The sequence below is a fragment of the Homo sapiens genome, chromosome 12 (assembly GCF_000001405.40).
Source record: "Homo sapiens chromosome 12, GRCh38.p14 Primary Assembly".
Taxonomy (NCBI): domain Eukaryota; kingdom Metazoa; phylum Chordata; class Mammalia; order Primates; family Hominidae; genus Homo; species Homo sapiens.
In genome coordinates this window covers 27,022,227-27,039,659 of record NC_000012.12, presented here as the reverse complement: position 1 = coordinate 27,039,659, position 17,433 = coordinate 27,022,227, and the positions used below count along the sequence as shown (strand labels likewise).

At 39.4% G+C, this 17,433-nt stretch overlaps 1 protein-coding gene across 8 annotated transcripts, besides 1 other annotated feature; it reads right to left on the bottom strand.

Moving 5' to 3' along the window:
* Positions 1–708: 708 nt before the first annotated feature.
* Positions 709–17,102, bottom strand: MED21 (mediator complex subunit 21). Of its 8 annotated transcripts, XM_047429904.1 has the most exons (8): positions 17,039–17,102; positions 13,126–13,240; positions 12,213–12,313; positions 9,388–11,375; positions 8,841–8,926; positions 7,430–7,516; positions 6,979–7,010; positions 709–1,626 (listed from the first exon to the last, which is right to left on the bottom strand). In XM_047429904.1, the coding sequence occupies exons 1-4, from the start codon at positions 17,078–17,080 to the stop codon at positions 11,199–11,201; spliced, it is 435 nt and encodes a 144-aa protein (XP_047285860.1). In that variant the 5' UTR covers positions 17,081–17,102; the 3' UTR covers positions 709–1,626; positions 6,979–7,010; positions 7,430–7,516; positions 8,841–8,926; positions 9,388–11,198. The 8 variants fall into 8 exon arrangements, 6 of the variants coding, with proteins under 6 accessions (XP_047285860.1, XP_047285862.1, XP_047285861.1 ...); XM_047429906.1 differs by lacking the exon at positions 6,979–7,010; XM_047429905.1 differs by having other exon boundaries at positions 7,430–11,375.
* Positions 16,781–17,070: an enhancer, noted in NCBI's record as "active region_6131". NCBI's record gives its function as "activates an Ori minimal core promoter by ATAC-STARR-seq in GM12878 lymphoblastoid cells {active_cell/tissue: GM12878}" and the evidence as "EXISTENCE:reporter gene assay evidence [ECO:0000049][PMID:35858748]".

The window sequence follows — 17,433 nt, the reverse complement described above, 5'->3', positions numbered from 1 at the left end:
CACACACCAAAGTTCAGGGTCAAACTGCCCTCTTGTGGTGAAATATTGCTATCTGTTTGGTCTTCAATACTTGCCCTTTGCATGTTAAGTTTTCAGTCTGTCTGGCATTGATTTTTTTTTTTTTTTTTTTGAGATGGAATTTCGCTCTTGTTGCCCAGGCTGGAGGGCAATGGCGCGTTCTTGGCTCACCACAACCGCCGCCTCCCGGGTTCAAGTGATTATCCTGCTTCAGCCTCGCCAGTAGCTGGGATTACAGGCATGCACCACCACACCCGGCTAATTTTGTACTTTTAGTAGAGACGGGGTTTCTCCATGTTGGTCAGGCTGGTCTCGAACTCCTGACCTCAGGTGATCTGCCACCTCGGCTTCCCAAAGTGCTGGGATTACAGGTGTGAGCCACTGCGCCTGGCCGTCATTGATTTTTTACTTTTTTTTTTTTTTTGAGATGGAATCTCGCTCTGTTGCCCAGGCTGGATGGAGTGCCAGGCGCATCATCTCGGCTCACGGCAGCCTCCGCCTCCAGGGATCAAGCGATTTTCCTGCCTCAGCCACCTGAGTAGCTTAGATTACAGGCACGTGCCACCACGTCTGGCTAATTTTTGTACTTTTAATAGAGATGGGGTTTCAACATGTTGGTCAGGCTGGTCTTGAACTCCTGACCTCATGATCCGCCCGCCTCAGCCTCCCAAAGTGCTGGGATTTTTAAAATATTTTTTATAACAGCTTTATTGAGGTATTATTCACATACCATGCTTTAAAAATATACAATTCAGTGGTTCTTAGTACATTCACAGAGTTGTGCAAACATCACATCTAATTCCAGAACATTTTGATCACTCCTCCCAAACTCCATAGGCATTGACTTTAATGTAATGGCATATAAATATATAGAAATACATATAGAAACCAATTATTCTAGCACCATTTCCATTCTTTCCCCAGGGACTGCAACATCATCTGTCATAAATCAACTTTTCATGTCTGTGTGAATTTGGTTTTGATCTCCCTATTGAGAGACTGGTGTACAGTATTTGTCTATCCCTGCACAAATTATTAAAGCAAGTTTTGCCATTCTGTTATCCTTCCTCATGAATATCTTGATTACTTTTGGCCCTAACTCATCAAGTTCCACAGAAATCCCAATTGGAATCTTAGTTAAAATTGTGTTGTCTATGGACCAGTTGAAGAAAACTGACACATTTATAATACTGACTCTGTTCCATAAAGATGGTATTACTTTCTACTTATTTTGTTTAAAAATGTTTTAAATGAAGCTTTATAATTTTTTTGTTATACGCATCCCTAGATATCTTACATTTTTGTTATATTCGTTGTATTCCTGAATCCTTATTATTTAATGTCACTGAAAATGTACTTTAAAAAAAAAACAACGTGTTTTTCTTACCATTTGTTGCTGGTATGTTACATATTGTTTTTTGGGAAGCCTATCCATGGAATCTTCTTGATTTTCTATGTAATTATATCATCTTTAAGTACTGAGAGTTTTCTTTCCTTTTTATCTTATAATTTTTATTTCTTTCATGCTTAGATGTGTTGGTGAGAATCACCAGCTTAAAGATGAGTAGATGTGGTGGTCTTAATAGGAAGCTCTGTCTTATTCCCAAGCTGAAAGGGAACAAGTTTGATCTTTCAGTAAGATGGTTACTACAGTTTTGTACATACCCTTTATATTTTAAAAATTCTTTGCTGTTTCTCCTCTGCCAAGAGTTTTTTCATAAATGGATTTTGAATATTATCAAATGCTTCTCGCAAATCAAGATAGATGATCATACTGATTCTGATTTTGATCTGTTAGAATGGCAAATTACATTACCATATTTGATCAAATCAAAGATTCTATAAATTTTAAAACACGTCATTATTTTATGTTTCAGCAAGGAAGAAAATAAAACAGCTGCCCTTTGAATATTCCAATTTGTAATATGTTTTTTTAAAAGGGCATCTCTAAATTGATAAAAATACAAAAAATACATTTTCTAAAGACAGAACTGCCATGCATTCCTGAGATTAAACATACATTTATTGTGATATATGCAATTGTTAATACCCACTGTCTCTAATTTGCTATTTTTCCATGTTTACTGAATGGGCAAAAACTGGAAGCATTCCCTTTGAAAACTGGCACAAGACAGGGATGCCCTCTCTCACCACTCCTATTCAACATAGTGTTGGAAGTTCTGGCCAGGGCAATTAGGCAGGATAAGGAAATAAAGGGTATTCAATTAGGAAAAGAGGAAGTCAAATTGTCCCTGTTTGCAGACGACATGACTGTATGTATAGAAAACCCCATTGTCTCAGCCCAAAATCTCCTTAAGCTGATAAGCAACTTCAGCAAAGTCTCAGGATACAAAATCAATGTACAAAAATCACAAGCATTCTTATACACCGATAACAGACAAACAGAGAGCCAAATCATGAGTGAACTCCCATTCACAATTGCTTCAAAGAGAATAAAATACTTAGGAATCCAACTTACAAGGGACGTGAAGGACCTCTTCAAGAAGAACTACAAACCACTGCTCAAGGAAATAAAAGAGGATACAAACAAATGGAAGAACATTCCATGCTCATCGGTAGGAAGAATCAATATTGTGAAAATGGCCATACTGCCCAAGGTAATTTATAGATTCAATGCCATCCCCATCAAGCTACCAATGCCTTTCTTCACAGAATTGGAAAAAAACTACTTTAAAGTTCATATGGAACCAAAAAGGAACCCACATCTCCAAGTCAATCCTAAGCCAAAAGAACAAAGCTGGAGGCATCACACTACCTGACTTCAAACTATACTACAAGGCTACAGTAACCAAAACAGCATGGTACTGGTACCAAAACAGAGATATAAATCAATGGAACAGAACAGAGGCCTCAGAAATAACGCCACATATCTACAACTATCTGATCTTTGACAAACCTGAGAAAAACAAGCAATGGGGAAAGGATTCCCTATTTAATAAACGGTGCTGGGAAAACTGGCTAGCCATATGTAGAAAGCTGAAACTGGATCCCTTCTTTACAGCTTATACAAAAATTAATTCAAGATGGATTAAAGACTTAAACGTTAGACCTAAAACCATAAAAACCCTAGAAGAAAACCTAGACATTACCATTCAGGACATAGGCATGGGCAAGGACTTCATGTCTGAAACACCAAAAGCAATGGCAATAAAAGCCAAAATTGACAAATGGGATCTAATTAAACTAAAGAGCTTCTGCACAGCAAAAGAAACTACCATCAGGGTGAACAGGCAACCTACAGAATGGGAGAAAATTTTCGCAACCTACTCATCTGACAAAGGGCTAATATCCAGAATCTACAGTGAACTCCAACAAATTTACAAGAAAAAACCAAACAACCCCATCAAAAAGTGGGCAAAGGATATGAACAGACACTTCTCAAAAGAAGACATTTATGCAGCCAAAAGACACTGAAAAAATGCTCATCATCACTGGCCATCAGAGAAATGCAAATCAAAACCACAATGGGATATCATCTCACACCAGTTAGAATGGCAATCATTAAGAAGTCAGGAAACAACAGGTGCTGGAGAGGATGTTGAGAAATAGGAATAGTTTTACACTATTGGTGGGACTGTAAACTAGTTTAACCATTGTGGAAGTCAGTGTGGTGATTCCTCAGGGATCTAGAACTACAAATACCATTTGACCCAGCCATCCCACTACTGGGTATACACCCAAAGGACTATAAATCATGCTGCTATAAAGACACATGCACACGTATGTCTATTGCGGCACTATTCACAATAGCAAAGACTTGGAACTAACCCAAATGTCCAACAATGATAGACTGGATTAAGAAAATGTGGCACATATACACCATGGAATACTATGCAGCCATAAACAATGATGAGTTCATGTCCTTTGTAGGGACATGGATGAAATTGGAAATCATCATTCTCAGCAAACTATGGCAAGGACAAAAAACCAAACACCGCATGTTCTCACTCATAGATGGGAATTCAACAGTGAGAACACATGGACACAGGAAGGGGAACATCACACTCTGGGGACTGTTGTGGGGTGGGGGGAGGGGGGAGGGATAGCATTAGGAGATATACCTAATGCTAAATGACGAGTTAACGGGTGCAGCACACCAGCATGGCACATGTATACATATGTAACTAACCTGCACATTGTGCACATGTACCCTAAAACTTAAAGTATAATTAAAAAAAAAAGAAATAACAAATCACCTTAATCCAAAAAAAAAAAAAGAGATTTAGTTATTTTTAATTTTGGTACTGTTACTGTAAAATTTTGACAAGAGCTTTATACTTTCTGTATAAAACTGGAATTCAAAGAAACCGCATATTTAGCAAAACTCACAACTCACTATTCTCATTAATAAAACTCTCTAGGCTTGGTGGCTAGAAGGTTTTATTACTGCCTGTTGTTTTTATTTTGTTTGAGACAGGGTCTGTCAACAAGTCTGTCACCAGGCTGGTGTGTGGTGTCATGATCATGGCTCACCGCAGCCTGTACCTCCCAGGCTTAAGCGATCCTCCCAACTGAGTAGCTGGAACTTCAGGCATGCACTACCAAACCGGGCTAATTAAGAGTTTTGACAGCTGGGCGCAGTTGCTCACGCCTGTAATCCCAGCACTTAGGGAGGCCAGGGGCAGGCGGAGCACCTAAGGTCAGGAATTCAAGACTAGCCTGGTAAACATGGTAAAACCCTGTCTCTACGAAAAATACAAAAATTAGCCAGGCGTGGTGACAGGTGCCTGTAATCCCAGCTACTCAGGAGGCTGAGGCATAAGAAGCACTTGGACCCGGGAGACGGAGGTTGCAGTGAGCCGAGATCACGCCACCGCACTCCAGCCCGGGCGACAAGCGCGAAACTCCGTTTCCAAAAAAGAGTTTTGACTATTGAGTCAAATCGGGTGTGGTGGCTCATGCATGTAATCCCAGCACTTTGGGAGGTCGAAATGGGCAGATCGGTTGAGCCCAGGAGTTTGAGATAAGCCTGGGCAACACTGCAAAACCCCATCTCTACTAAAAATACAAAAATTAGCTGGTGGAATAAGCCTGCCATCCCAGCTACTCGGGAGGCTGAGGTGGGAGGATAGCTTGAGCCCAGGAGGTCAACACTGCAATGAACTGTGATTGTGTCACTGCACTGCAGCCTGGAAGACAAGAGTGAGACCTTGTTTATCTATTTAAATTTATTAAATTATGTATTAAACTTTTTTTTTGAGACGGAGTTTTGCCCTTGTTGCCCAGGCTGGAGTGCAATGGCGTGATCTCGGCTCACTGCAACCTCCGCCTCCCAGGCTGTACCGATTCTCCTGCCTTAGCCTCCCGAGTAGCTGGGATTGGATTACAGGCGCCCACCACCATGCCTGGCTAATTTTTTGTATTTTTAGTAGAGACGGGGTTTCTCCATGTTGGCCAGGCTGGTCTTGAACACCTGACCTCAGGTGATCCACCCACCTTTGCCTCCCAAAGTGCTGGGACTACAGGTGTGAGTCACTGCGTTAGCCAAATTTAAACTTTTTTTGAAGTTTAAAGGATTAAGTTTGAAGGATTTAAAGGACCATTTAAATTTTAAATACATTCAATCAATAGTCAAAACTCTTTTTTCAGCCATACTCTTTTTGAATCTCAACTTTGGGCTTTGTTTTTTCTACAGTATGGTTGTTTTCTTAATTTCTGCTGTTACCTTTATTATTTCTTTCTTTCTCTTTCAGTTAGATACTTAGCTTGTTAATTTTCAACTTTTTATCCTAATACAAGCAAGAAAGGTAATACTTGCATTTTCTCCTACATGCTGTCTTGGCCGAATACCACAAGTTTCTATGCATAGTTTGTTTTCATTACATTCTGAATTATGCTCTAATCTTTCTGATTTCTTCTTTTGACTCCTGAGTTTTATCTCTTAGTATTGGATTTTTACTATTCATCTTTATTAATTTTATCCTGAATTGCACACAAGGTGATCTGAAACAGATTTCTTACCTCACAGTAAATGAGTGCCTCTGCTCTTTTTGCCCCAACCTTACCCCTGGGGCTATCAATGAGAGTCCATGAGATTTTTTTCCTACCCAAGTGAATGAGGTCAAGTAAAACAAACAAAAATCCAGACTAGGTATAGAATGACTCTATTTGAAATGATTATTAAAATAGTGCTATGCTCTGAATGCTTGTATCCCTCCCAACCCCACAAATTTGTACGTTGAAATCCTAACATACGAATGATGATGGGTCGAGCCTTTGAAAAATGACTAGGTCAAGAAGGTAAAGGCCTCATGAGTGGGATTAGTACCTCTAAAGAGGCCCAAGAGTTTCCCTTGCTTCTTCTACCATGTGAGGACAGTGAGAAGGTGCCCCCACCAGACACCAGACCTGCCAGCACTTTGATCTTTGACTTCCCGGGCTTCAGAACTGTGGGAAGTAAATTTATATTGTCTATAAGCTATCAGCTTATGGTATTTTGCTATATATAGCAGCCTGAATGGGTGAATACAAACAGGGAGAGAGGAACTATTGCAATAGGGTCAGGGAGACTATTGCAATAAGGAGAATGCTTCAAAGGTAAGATCTGCAAGCATCTCAAAGATCAGATAGAAATAGGCTTTTCTCTTTTTCTCTTACAGGGAGGAATAAACAGGCTAGAAAAAAACTAACGTGGAGGAGAGGAGCAGGTGACGTTAATGGGACAGCTGAGCAGGGAATGTCCTTCCTGGTGGCTAGTCAATTTTCAGGAGGGGAAAAGGAGGGACTATTCCACAGTCCAGTGCTGGCTCAGGCTGAAGGTGGATCAAAGTCCAGTGGCTTACGGGGAAGGGAGAAGCATAAAATTGGGTCAAGTTAAAGGGCATTTTGTCCAGATTAGTCTATGGGTACAAATAGTTCAACTAATTATTTTGAGGCAAAGAATGGGATTTGGAGGGTCTGAGTCTGGCTTTATCATAGGTAAATGAAGGTGTTACTCACAGTTCTAGTGGTTCTTTGCAATAAGCCATTTCCTGAAATGTAACAAGAAGGAGGGATTTCTTAACTGTCACTGTTTTCCAGAAGCACAGGGCTCAAGTAAAGGTTAATACTGTAGTCAGTGGCCATGTACCACATAAGCAGGAGACAGGGAGACAAGTTGGGGAGTGTTTTCCATGTCATACTACTACCTCTCTACATTTAGCATGTCCTCAATGGGACTATTCTTGCTGGCATTTGTGTATAGGGGAATTACAAGTATAAGGATATCTATTCCAGCAACACATCTGAAGTAGAAGCCATGATCACAATGCATCATCAAGCCAACCTGAAGGGTCTTAGCTACCAAGTTCTATTTATCTCCCCACCTCACTGGTTACCTTGCCCAGCCCCCAAGTTGAAATTCAGATACCCCTTCTCCTTACTGGACCAGTTACGATAGTAACTTAGGCACCTGTATTCAAAGACATCACGAAGCTTTTCATTCCTCCTTTCCCATAGGCTTCCAGAAAATTTCAACAGGGGCGTAGAGTCTGTGGTCCTTCAAGAATAGAGAGAATATGGCTTCAACCTAAGGATTTTTCTCCTTTAAACAACTTAGATATGGGTAAAAGAAGAAAGAGGGACCAGGGAATGCAAGACACATCCGTCGTTTTTGGTCCTCTCAAAGCTGGGTACCAGGCAGTAAGGTCATTGCTGATAAATCCATTTTGGCTTTGAGAACCCCCTAATCCAACAGTCATATCCACACAGCTTTCCAAGTGGGGCCAAGGGGTACGCACGCCTTGGCTGACCTGGACTTAACTGGCACTACAATAACCTCATTTAGCAATAAGGGCTTTAGGGTGATGTGGTTAGTGTTTTCTTTATCCTCTTTCTCCTTTCATTCTTTCACTTCCCTAACTCCTCCCATATTTTGTGTAAATGCTAATTCTTCGATCAAATTCCTTATTCCTGTAATGTTTGTAGTAGCATTTTTTTTTTCATGGCTACATTCCATTGACTCTACCTCACACTGACATGTTTTGCTACCAGAAGTGGTAGCAGAGACACAGAATCTTAAGGATGGAAATCTGGAATTTGTTCTCTGATCTGACTGGATTAAAAAGCAATAATGTTTCCATTGCCAAGGTAATTGACAGTCTATGGTAAAAGTTACTTATCACTTGTAGTCACTTGGTTTGTTAACTAATGCCCAGACACAGGGTTTACTTATATTAAATCAAAGTGAAATGCCAGAATACCCTTCCTTGGTATACAGGGAATGGTATCAAGGACATAGAAATTTTGGGGTGAAATTATTATACATAACTTACTCACTCACATCCTATCTTCTCTGGAAGGATCCAGAGGACACTCTCTTCATTAAGGCTTTAAAAAAAATCATCGGCAGGAGGTACCATTCTTGAAAGGCTCTAATGGCCAATATCACAGGTCAGGAATGATAGTAAAGGATACTCCCATTGAAATTGGCTCCTGGCCGGGTGCAGTGGCTCATGCCTGTAATCCCAGCACTTTGGGAGGCTGAGGCGGGTGGATCACCTAAGGTTGGGAGTTCGAGACCAGCCTGACCAACATGGAGAAACCCCGTCTCTACTAAAAATACAAAATTAGCCAGGCATGGTGGTGCCTGCCTGTAATCCCAGCTATTCGGGAGGCTGAGGCAGGAGAATCACTTAAGCCCGAGAAGCTGAGGTTGCGGTGAGCCAAGATCGTGCCATTGCACTCCAGCCTGGACAAGAGTGAAACTCCATCTCAAAAAAAGAAATTGGCTCCTTAAATTCAATGAAGATGACGGGAGTTAGGATGTAGTTAAGGCACAAGTGGACAGATTTAGCATCCAGAAACAAAGAGAGTTTGGTTACCATAACTGGCAGCAGAGCAAGATGGTAATCAAAATGGTTTCACCCACAGAAATCTTTAGGGTTAACTGATAGTGGTGCCCCTAGAACTGAAATAGAGAAGCAGGATATTAAACTTTTCTTAACATATGAAAAAAGCAAACTGTAGGTCTAGTGAATAAAGGTCTATTTTTAATTACAAGCCACAGCTTCTTATCCAGTTTTTAGATTTAAATCAGCTTAGATCATTGACATTTAATTATTGCTGTATTAATGAAATAAAATAAAATTTAGGTTTACTATTGTTTTATTCTGTTTCTCGTTCCTGGGTTACCTGAATCTTTTTTAGTATTCCACCTTAATTTATTAATGCTTTTGAAAATAATCTGTAGTTTTTTAGGGAAAAATCTGTGTCGCTCTAGGGATGATACAAATACTTAATTTCTTATAGTCTACTGTATAGTATTAATATCTTGAGGTTAGCAGTTTGGCATTAGCCTGGGCAACAGAGTGAGACCCCATCTCTAAAAAAAAAAGAAAAAAAAAATTAGCTGGACGTGGTAGTACATGCCTGTAGTCCCAGTTACTGAAGAGGCTGAAGTGGGAGGATCACCTGAACCCAGGGTGAAGCTGCAGTGAGCCATGATCACAGAACTGCACTTCAGCTTGGGTGACAGAGACTTCACCTTAAAAAAACAGAAACAAGAACAACAAAAAAAAACTGTATATCCTCTACAGAGAATCACATACAACAACGTTAATTTTTTTCTTTCAAATAACAAATGTAATTTTTAAAACCTCAAGAGAAGTCTATTATATTTACCCTATACATTATGCCTTCTTTATTCCTGCCATTCTAAGTTTCCTTCTGCTATAACTTCCCTTCTTTTTAAAAAGCTTCCCTTGAATTCTTTTAGAGCAGGTTTACTAGTGATAAATCCTGTTAGTTTTCCCTCATTTGAAAAATGTCTTGACCTTTTCTCTTTGTACCTTTTTGACTCCTTTATAATACTTAGGTACTTTGAATAAGTTTTCTGACTGAATCTTCTCTCCCCCCAAAACTATAATGAAGAGTACAGATTTATGCCAAATATCTGATAGCAAAGTGTTTTTAATAAACATCAATTAAAATACAGTTAAAAGTTCAAAAATTTTCTATGACTAGCCAATAAATTGCTGCAACTTTTACAGCTAACGCTGGTGTTCCTGAAATTTGAAACATAGTACTTTTCAAGAACTGTGGAAAAGCTTGATTACAACAAAAATAACAGGCAGAGTGTTCTATTGTTCCTGTTTTCTCCTGAAACTTAAACTCTGAATAGCAACAGATTGCAGCAAATGTAGCTCAGCATATTCTGAAAAATACAGCCCCAGGAAATAGCTAGTTAAAATGTGGACCACATTTCAATTCCACCTTTCCAGTGGAGATTATCAGTAGACTCAAAGAGATCCAAGGGTTGGATGAATAACCATAGTTGAAAATGCTGACACAAATTATTATTTGGCAATAATAAACTGAGGTGAAATGATGCCAAGTAACTGATGTAGTGGAAGTATGTTCTGGTCTGACTAGAATACAGCAATAAAAGTTGAGAGGTTAATAAGGGCAAAAGAACCTTCAGATAAATGGAGAATGAGAAAGAATTGATGATTCAAAAAACATACTTCATTGTGATGACAAGCAAATTAAGGATGAAAAAAAGCAAGGTGAAAAGAAATAGGAAAAATAGTTCAGGATGTAGAAAAATTCTTTCACAACAGCCAGGAAATTCTCTTGACAGAGGATCTCTTGGTAAAATAAACGTGGAGATGAACTAGAACAGGTATGAGGTTCTAGCAGAAGAAACATTTGCATAAATGTGACTTTCTTATCCAGCCACACTAACTCTATTTCTTAAAAGCAACACAATTTCCAAAACTTTCTTGCTCAAAGCTCAGATTTACACAATGCCACCTCTAAGAGGCAGGACACTAGCCCAAACTAAAATGTCCCTTATGTCTGTTCTTACTGTCTTCTCCTTTGGCTTGAGAGATGTTTTGATTTGTAAAAGTACTGGCCAATACAACAAAATGGAGACATAAATTATGTCATAACAGAATTTTACATATGTTTCCTTATATTATGTTCATTAATGTATTACATGCCTTAATAATTTCACTCAGTTAAAAAATGATGGTATGATGCTTTAAAGCTGATTCAATCATGATTTTATAAGCTTATCAAGAGTGAAAATAGAAGACTATTAAAAATAGCTAAAAAGGTAATGTGTCATAGTGTTTAATGTTTCTGTAATTGTTGGTAAGGCTTGTATCTAAGTCTGATGCAGAATTCTTAATGGCACTCAAACAGTTCTTTTCTCAGCCACATGGTATCCACTGATGCTATGAGTCTGGAAGAGACTGGCTATGGGTACCACTTCTTGTCTTCAGCTGTGACTGTGCAATATCAGCAAGTGCGCTTTGTATCTTCTCCAGAAGCATGTCTCCTCGATAAACAACATCCTCCAGACATGTAGCAGCTTCATGGTTTTCTTCTTCTAGCTTATACAAGCTAGCAGCCTTTATAAGACACAAATTTTAAAATCTTTAGAGTTTAGAAAGAGAAGCTGTCACAGATGTACTTATTTTTAAATCTGGATGACTTTGCAATCATTGTGATATGTTTTTCAGTAAAGAAATTCTAAAAATCAGACAACTTTTAAGAATTTTCCCCATGTGAATTATTAAAAAGAATGACTTTTCAATTAGAGATCTCTAGATATCTTTAAGTGACTCCCTTACACATTACGTTTAGACACCATTATTCTACTCCAATTGTAGAATGCCACCCTCCTCTCATTCTTCACTAGGAAAAGAGACAAAATTGAGGAAAATAAGAGGTTTCCTTATAATGGAAATTTGAATATTATAACAAAAGGTGCTATGATTTGAATGCATCCCCTCCAAAATTCATACATTAAAATCTAATCCCCAATGTGATGGTATTAAGAGGGAAGGGGCCTTTAAGAGGATATTAAGTCATGAAGGCAGAGATCTCATAGATGGAATTAGTACCCTTAAAATATGGCTTGAGGTTGAAGAGGGAGCTCTTGCTCTTTTGCCCTTCTGCCTTCAGCCATGTGAGGAAACAGGAAGAAGGCCCTCAACATGGCCCTAAACATGGCACCATGTTTAATAAAAATTCATTACTCATGCACAGTGAGTAATAAATGCCTTGATCTTGGACTTCCCAGACTCCAGAACTGTGAGAAAATAAATTTCTGTTCTTTATAAATTACTGTCTCAGGTATGTTGTTATAGCAGCACAAATGGACACAGACAAAAGGTACTAAATCTACCTCCTTTAATTCAAAATTCTCTATTACTGGTAAAATTCTCAAAGGAATAGAGGCTTACCTGTAAAGCAGCTGTAGATTCTTCACTGGGTAAGGAATCTATCAAAACATCAATGTCTTTTGCTGTTCGTGCAATCAGTGCTGCAAAAAGCTGGGCATACTCTAGAGAAAGATACTGCTAGATTAGGATATTAGAAAACCTCAAGTTTTCAGAAACAAATTTTAAGTTAATGAAACCAGAAACTTCATATAGCTTTTTCTGCCCTAAGATTCTAATGATTCGGCCAGGCGTGGTGGCTCACGCCTGTAATCCCAGCACTTTGGGAGGCCAAGGCAGGCGGATCACGAGGTCAGGAGTTTGAGACCAGCCTGACCAACATGGTGAAACCCCATCTCTACTAAAAATACAAAAATTAGCCAGACGTGGTGGCATGAGCCTGTAATCCCAGCTACTCAGGAGGCTGAGGCAGGAGAATTCCTTGAACCCGGGAGGCGAAAGTTGCAGTGAGCCAAGATTGCATCACTGCACTCCAGCCTAGGTGACAGAGCGAGACTCCGTCTCAAAAAAAAAAAGAAGATTCTAATGATTAAAATATACACCAATCCTGTTACACATTTAGCTCAAATTGGGAATTAAGCATAATGTATGTAATTTCATTTATTATGACAATATAGTGGTCACCTGAATAAAGAAATTTATAAATGGGATGCCTTCCTTGTTAAGGTCCCTCACTCAGCTAAATTAATACAAATTCTCCTCTAAAGGAGTAACAATCTATTATCTGACATGAACCAGAATTATGAGATGTTAGGTGAATTGACTGTAAATTTTTTACAACAAACAAAACTTGTAATATTCTCAAACAACAATAATTTTAGAAATAAAATAAGCTGAATTTCTCAAGAAATCTAATTTTAAAGGATTACAAAAAATGTGAGAGTCAAACTAAGAGAAGCTAAGAAAACCTGTTTACCTTCTGTAGGGTTAGCTGGCTGGTCTTTGTTAATTGCTGTCTGAATATTATTGAAAGAGGCAGGAGGACCACATTGCTGCAATACTCCAATGGCATTACAAAACTGATCTGCAAGCTTAGGCCAAAGAAAACATATCAAGGTTAGAAAGGACTTATCAGTTTTAAGGACTTTATTGGTAATGGCAACAACAATAAGTTTCTGTAATGATAATCTCTGAGCAAGGGAATAAAACAGAAAGGAGTGATTGTTGATAAAATAAGCCAGTTATTATTAATGTTGATTAAACGTTTTAATTCTGCAAAGAAACTAAGTTTGGTATCAATCTAGGTAAAGTTAAATTTGATATAAATCTAGTTGAAACAGTTGAAATACAAAATAATCTTTCTTTTCTTGTGATAGTAAAATGATAAGAGAATATTGGCCAATACTTATTGTAAGCCACAAGTAAAGACTTTTTGGGGATAGTGATGGAAAAGAGCAAATTTGACTTGTAAATATCTATGGCACCATGTTTAATAAAAATTTATTTCTCATGCACAAAGTATATGATTCCTTTTCTGAGACTGGAGTAGTTACAAGTGTAAAGAAATAGTGAGGAAGAGGCTGCTCAGAAAAGCACCTTAAGTAAGCAGAAATGTATTTGTTCAAGACTCAATTTGTAAACTCTTGTACTCTAAAAGTATTCCTTAAGTACTTTTAAAGATTGGGAATAGCAATTCCTTACCATCTCCAAATTAAATACACCTATCTTCCCTACCAATTTCTCTCACCTAGTCTTGACCTCTCAAACCTCCTATTTCTAATAAGTATTTCCACTGGGTTTCTCTGCCATTGTTTCAATGACAGAACTCAAAGGCAACTGTTTCCTCTTTTTAATATTTAATTTGTATTGAAAGTCTCCTAGTCAACCAATCTAACTTCAGATTCTTACTTTCCTTTGATCTTCATATTCTGCTAATACTACAAATCTTTCTCTTTTCCTTCTATCACTGTTGCTTAGTTCAACCAATTATCTCACACCAGAATTATTACAATAGTCTTCTTGTTGTTTTCCAGTTCACCAGGTTATTTATTTTAACCTGATCAAAACATTTAAGCTTACTCCACCACTGTCTTCAAGATAAATCTCCAACTCAGGCTGTTTTGAAGCTTTCAATAATCTAAGTCAACTCTACTGACTCGTTTTCCACTACTCCTTCATATTTATCTAACTAGTCATAAAGTCACTTATGACTAAATGGCTTTGCCCAGGTTTTGCTAATTGTAATGGAGCAATAAGTGCTCAGATGCTATACAAACCTAGATCCTGATCCTAGCTCTATTAATCCAAGCAGCATTTTTCATTTTTAAATTGGATACATTCTCCTATTATAGCATTGTTGTAATAGAGGAAACACACACAAAAAAATATTCAACACAGTGTCTATCTTTTCCATCCTTCAAAAGCTTTTAAGATCCATTTAGTCAACAAAAATTTATGGAAAATAACTAAAGTACTGCATATAAACACTACAGAGACATAGTGAATGCGACATAGCTTCTGCACTCACGGTTTTCAGAGGGTAGAACAAATGTTAAAAGTTATACAAATAATTCTGATTAGGATAAATGCTAAGAAGATTCCCCCTATTTTGGTTCACATCACTCCATATTCCAATTTACATCAGAACCTGAAGCTGAAAATACTCAATTCATTATAACTCCCTAACCACATACTGTTTTTCCATCACTTAAATGTCTCCTGAGTATTTGACATTTTTTAACCTCCTTTAGGAGTATCTCTTTGTAAACATGATGGTGCTTACACACAGTAGGCACTCATACTAGTTATCCTAAAGGCTTTTCTCCAAAATCCAATTATCATTATGCCTAACCTGGAGTTAAGGCCATATTCACTCTGTCCTTATTATCCTTCTAGTTACAAGACATGTATGAATATGCAAAATTTTCCCTAAAATAAGATTTCTATCCAGCAGCATCATTACAATTTGATTTCGTAAAACCTCAAAGGAGTAGTTCCCTGAGGAAGGCTGGCTGGCAGCCCAGGCAAGTCCCTGCAGGGTAGAATTTATCTTGGTGAATTCAACACTTAGAGGCTGGTCCTCTCAGCTTAAAAACTAGTGTTATTCACCCAGGGTAGATCAGTTTTATCACAAGTAGATTCACACTCTTCAAGTGTACAAATTCTGATGTATTAAGAAAAATGCCAAGTTATTAGCTTACAGTGAGGAAAAAAAAAACTGGCAAGGAAACCAGGTACTTAGGTTTTCCTATCAGCATGTTTTCTCTCTAGCCCCTTATCTAGGACATTAAATCACAATCAGACAATGAGAAACATAACTATCAATGGAAAACTATTTAGCAGAAAACAATCTAACTCGTAATGGTAATAAGTACACCCATTGCCGCATGGGAATACCCACTGACGTCTTGGTCAACGGGATGCACATATTATGTCAGTCCCCTATGGTTATAATAAAGCTGAAAAATTCTTATTGCCTAGTGACATCGTAGCAGTACTAACGCTGTAGCGCAATGCGTTCCTTAGTGCTTGTGGTGATGCTGCTGTAAATCAACCTACCACACTGCCAGTGTATGAAAGCATAGCACATACAATTATGTGCAGTCCATGACACTTGATAATGATACTAAATGACTTTGTTACTGGTTTATGTATTACTGTTTTATCGTTATTTTACATTGTACTTCTACTTATTAAAACAAAAAAAAAAGTTATCGCCAAAACCATGCATTTCTCAGAACATGACCCCTTCATTAGGGGCCCATGACTGCGCATCCTCTGGCTTTGCTTCTACTTTCCACTCAGGCATAGTGTGGAGGAAAAATAACCAGAAGGAACAAAGCTGGGGAGCTACTTACTAGACTTGGCCTTTAATAGAGAGTAGAATTTGGGGGAGACATTAAAAAGGACTTGTAGGCCGGGCACGGTGGCTCACACCTGTAATCCCAGCACTATGGGAGGCCGAGGCGGGAGGATCGCTTGAGGCCGGGAGTTTGAGACCAGCCTGGACAACATGGTGAAACCCCGTCTCTACTAAAAATACAAACATTAGCCGGGCGTGGTGGAGGGCGCCTGTAATCCCAGCTACTTTGGCTCAGACAGGAGAATCGCTTGAACCCGGGAGGCGGAGGATGCAGTGAGCAGAGATCGCGCCACTGCACTCCAGCCTGGGCGAAAGGCACTGTCTCCAAAGTAAAAAAAAAAAAAAAAAGAAAAGAAAAAAGACTCAAATAAGCGGAAAGACATACGAGGATTAGAAGATTTCCTATCATAAAGATGTCCCCAAACTGATGTATTCTGAGGGATGGCCAAGAGGCAAGAGATGGAAGGATACTCTGGGCCCAAAGGAACGAGCTAAGATGAAAGAAAATCTCTCACCTCACCTCAGCATCGCTCCCGCACCAACCTGAAAGCGCTGGTGAAGGAATACTCTCGGCTGACATTTCATTACAAAAACCCAGTCATCCAGAGCATGAGATCTCCCTTGGTGGATTAAAATTGATGAGGAAAGAAAAAAGCTCCTGCTTCTCCTCCCAACCCCCAAAAGAAAGAGAACCCGTAAGCACCACTGACAAGAAAATAAAACTGTCCTCAGGGAACACGACAGGACCGCGCAGCCCACAAGTCCTGGCGGCCTCACCCGGACAAGAACGATCTTCCCGGTCTCCTCAAGCGAAAGAGTCTGCTCCCTCCCGCACCTTCAAGCACCGCCCGGCAGCCGGCCTCAAACCTCCGAGTTCGCGGTGGCGCCTCCCGAGAGAGCGCTTTATGCCGAAGCCCTGTCTCTCAGTCCGCTCCCCACTTTCAAGTTTTGCCTCTTGGGCCCCTTTCCTCCCTTGCTTTACCTCAAGAAAGAGAAAGACAGAGGCTAATCGAATGAAATTCCTCACCGAATTCACAGCGTCCTGAAGCTGCGTGAGCCGATCCGCCATGTTCCTACCGCAGCAAACAGACGCCAAAACAGCTGCTCTTCCGCGACTGGGCAGCTCTGGCACGCGTCATGGCCAATCACAGGGCTGCGTCCTTGGAACGGGTGGGGTCGGAGAGAACTCCCCGCCCCGTCAGGAGTGGGTGGTACTCCCGAGGCGGCCTTTCTAGAGCGGGCTACACCTGAGGAGAGGCTGGATCTTTTGAGTAACTGGGGGAATGGTCTGGGGTCCAATCGCTTTGAAATACAGTCCAAGAGCCGAAATACTCCCCTTGGGGTTGTTAGGTGTTAAAGGCTTCAGAGATTGTTGGATTCTGCGGGGATTTTTTTTTTTTAAGTAATTTCTCGTACCCTCTC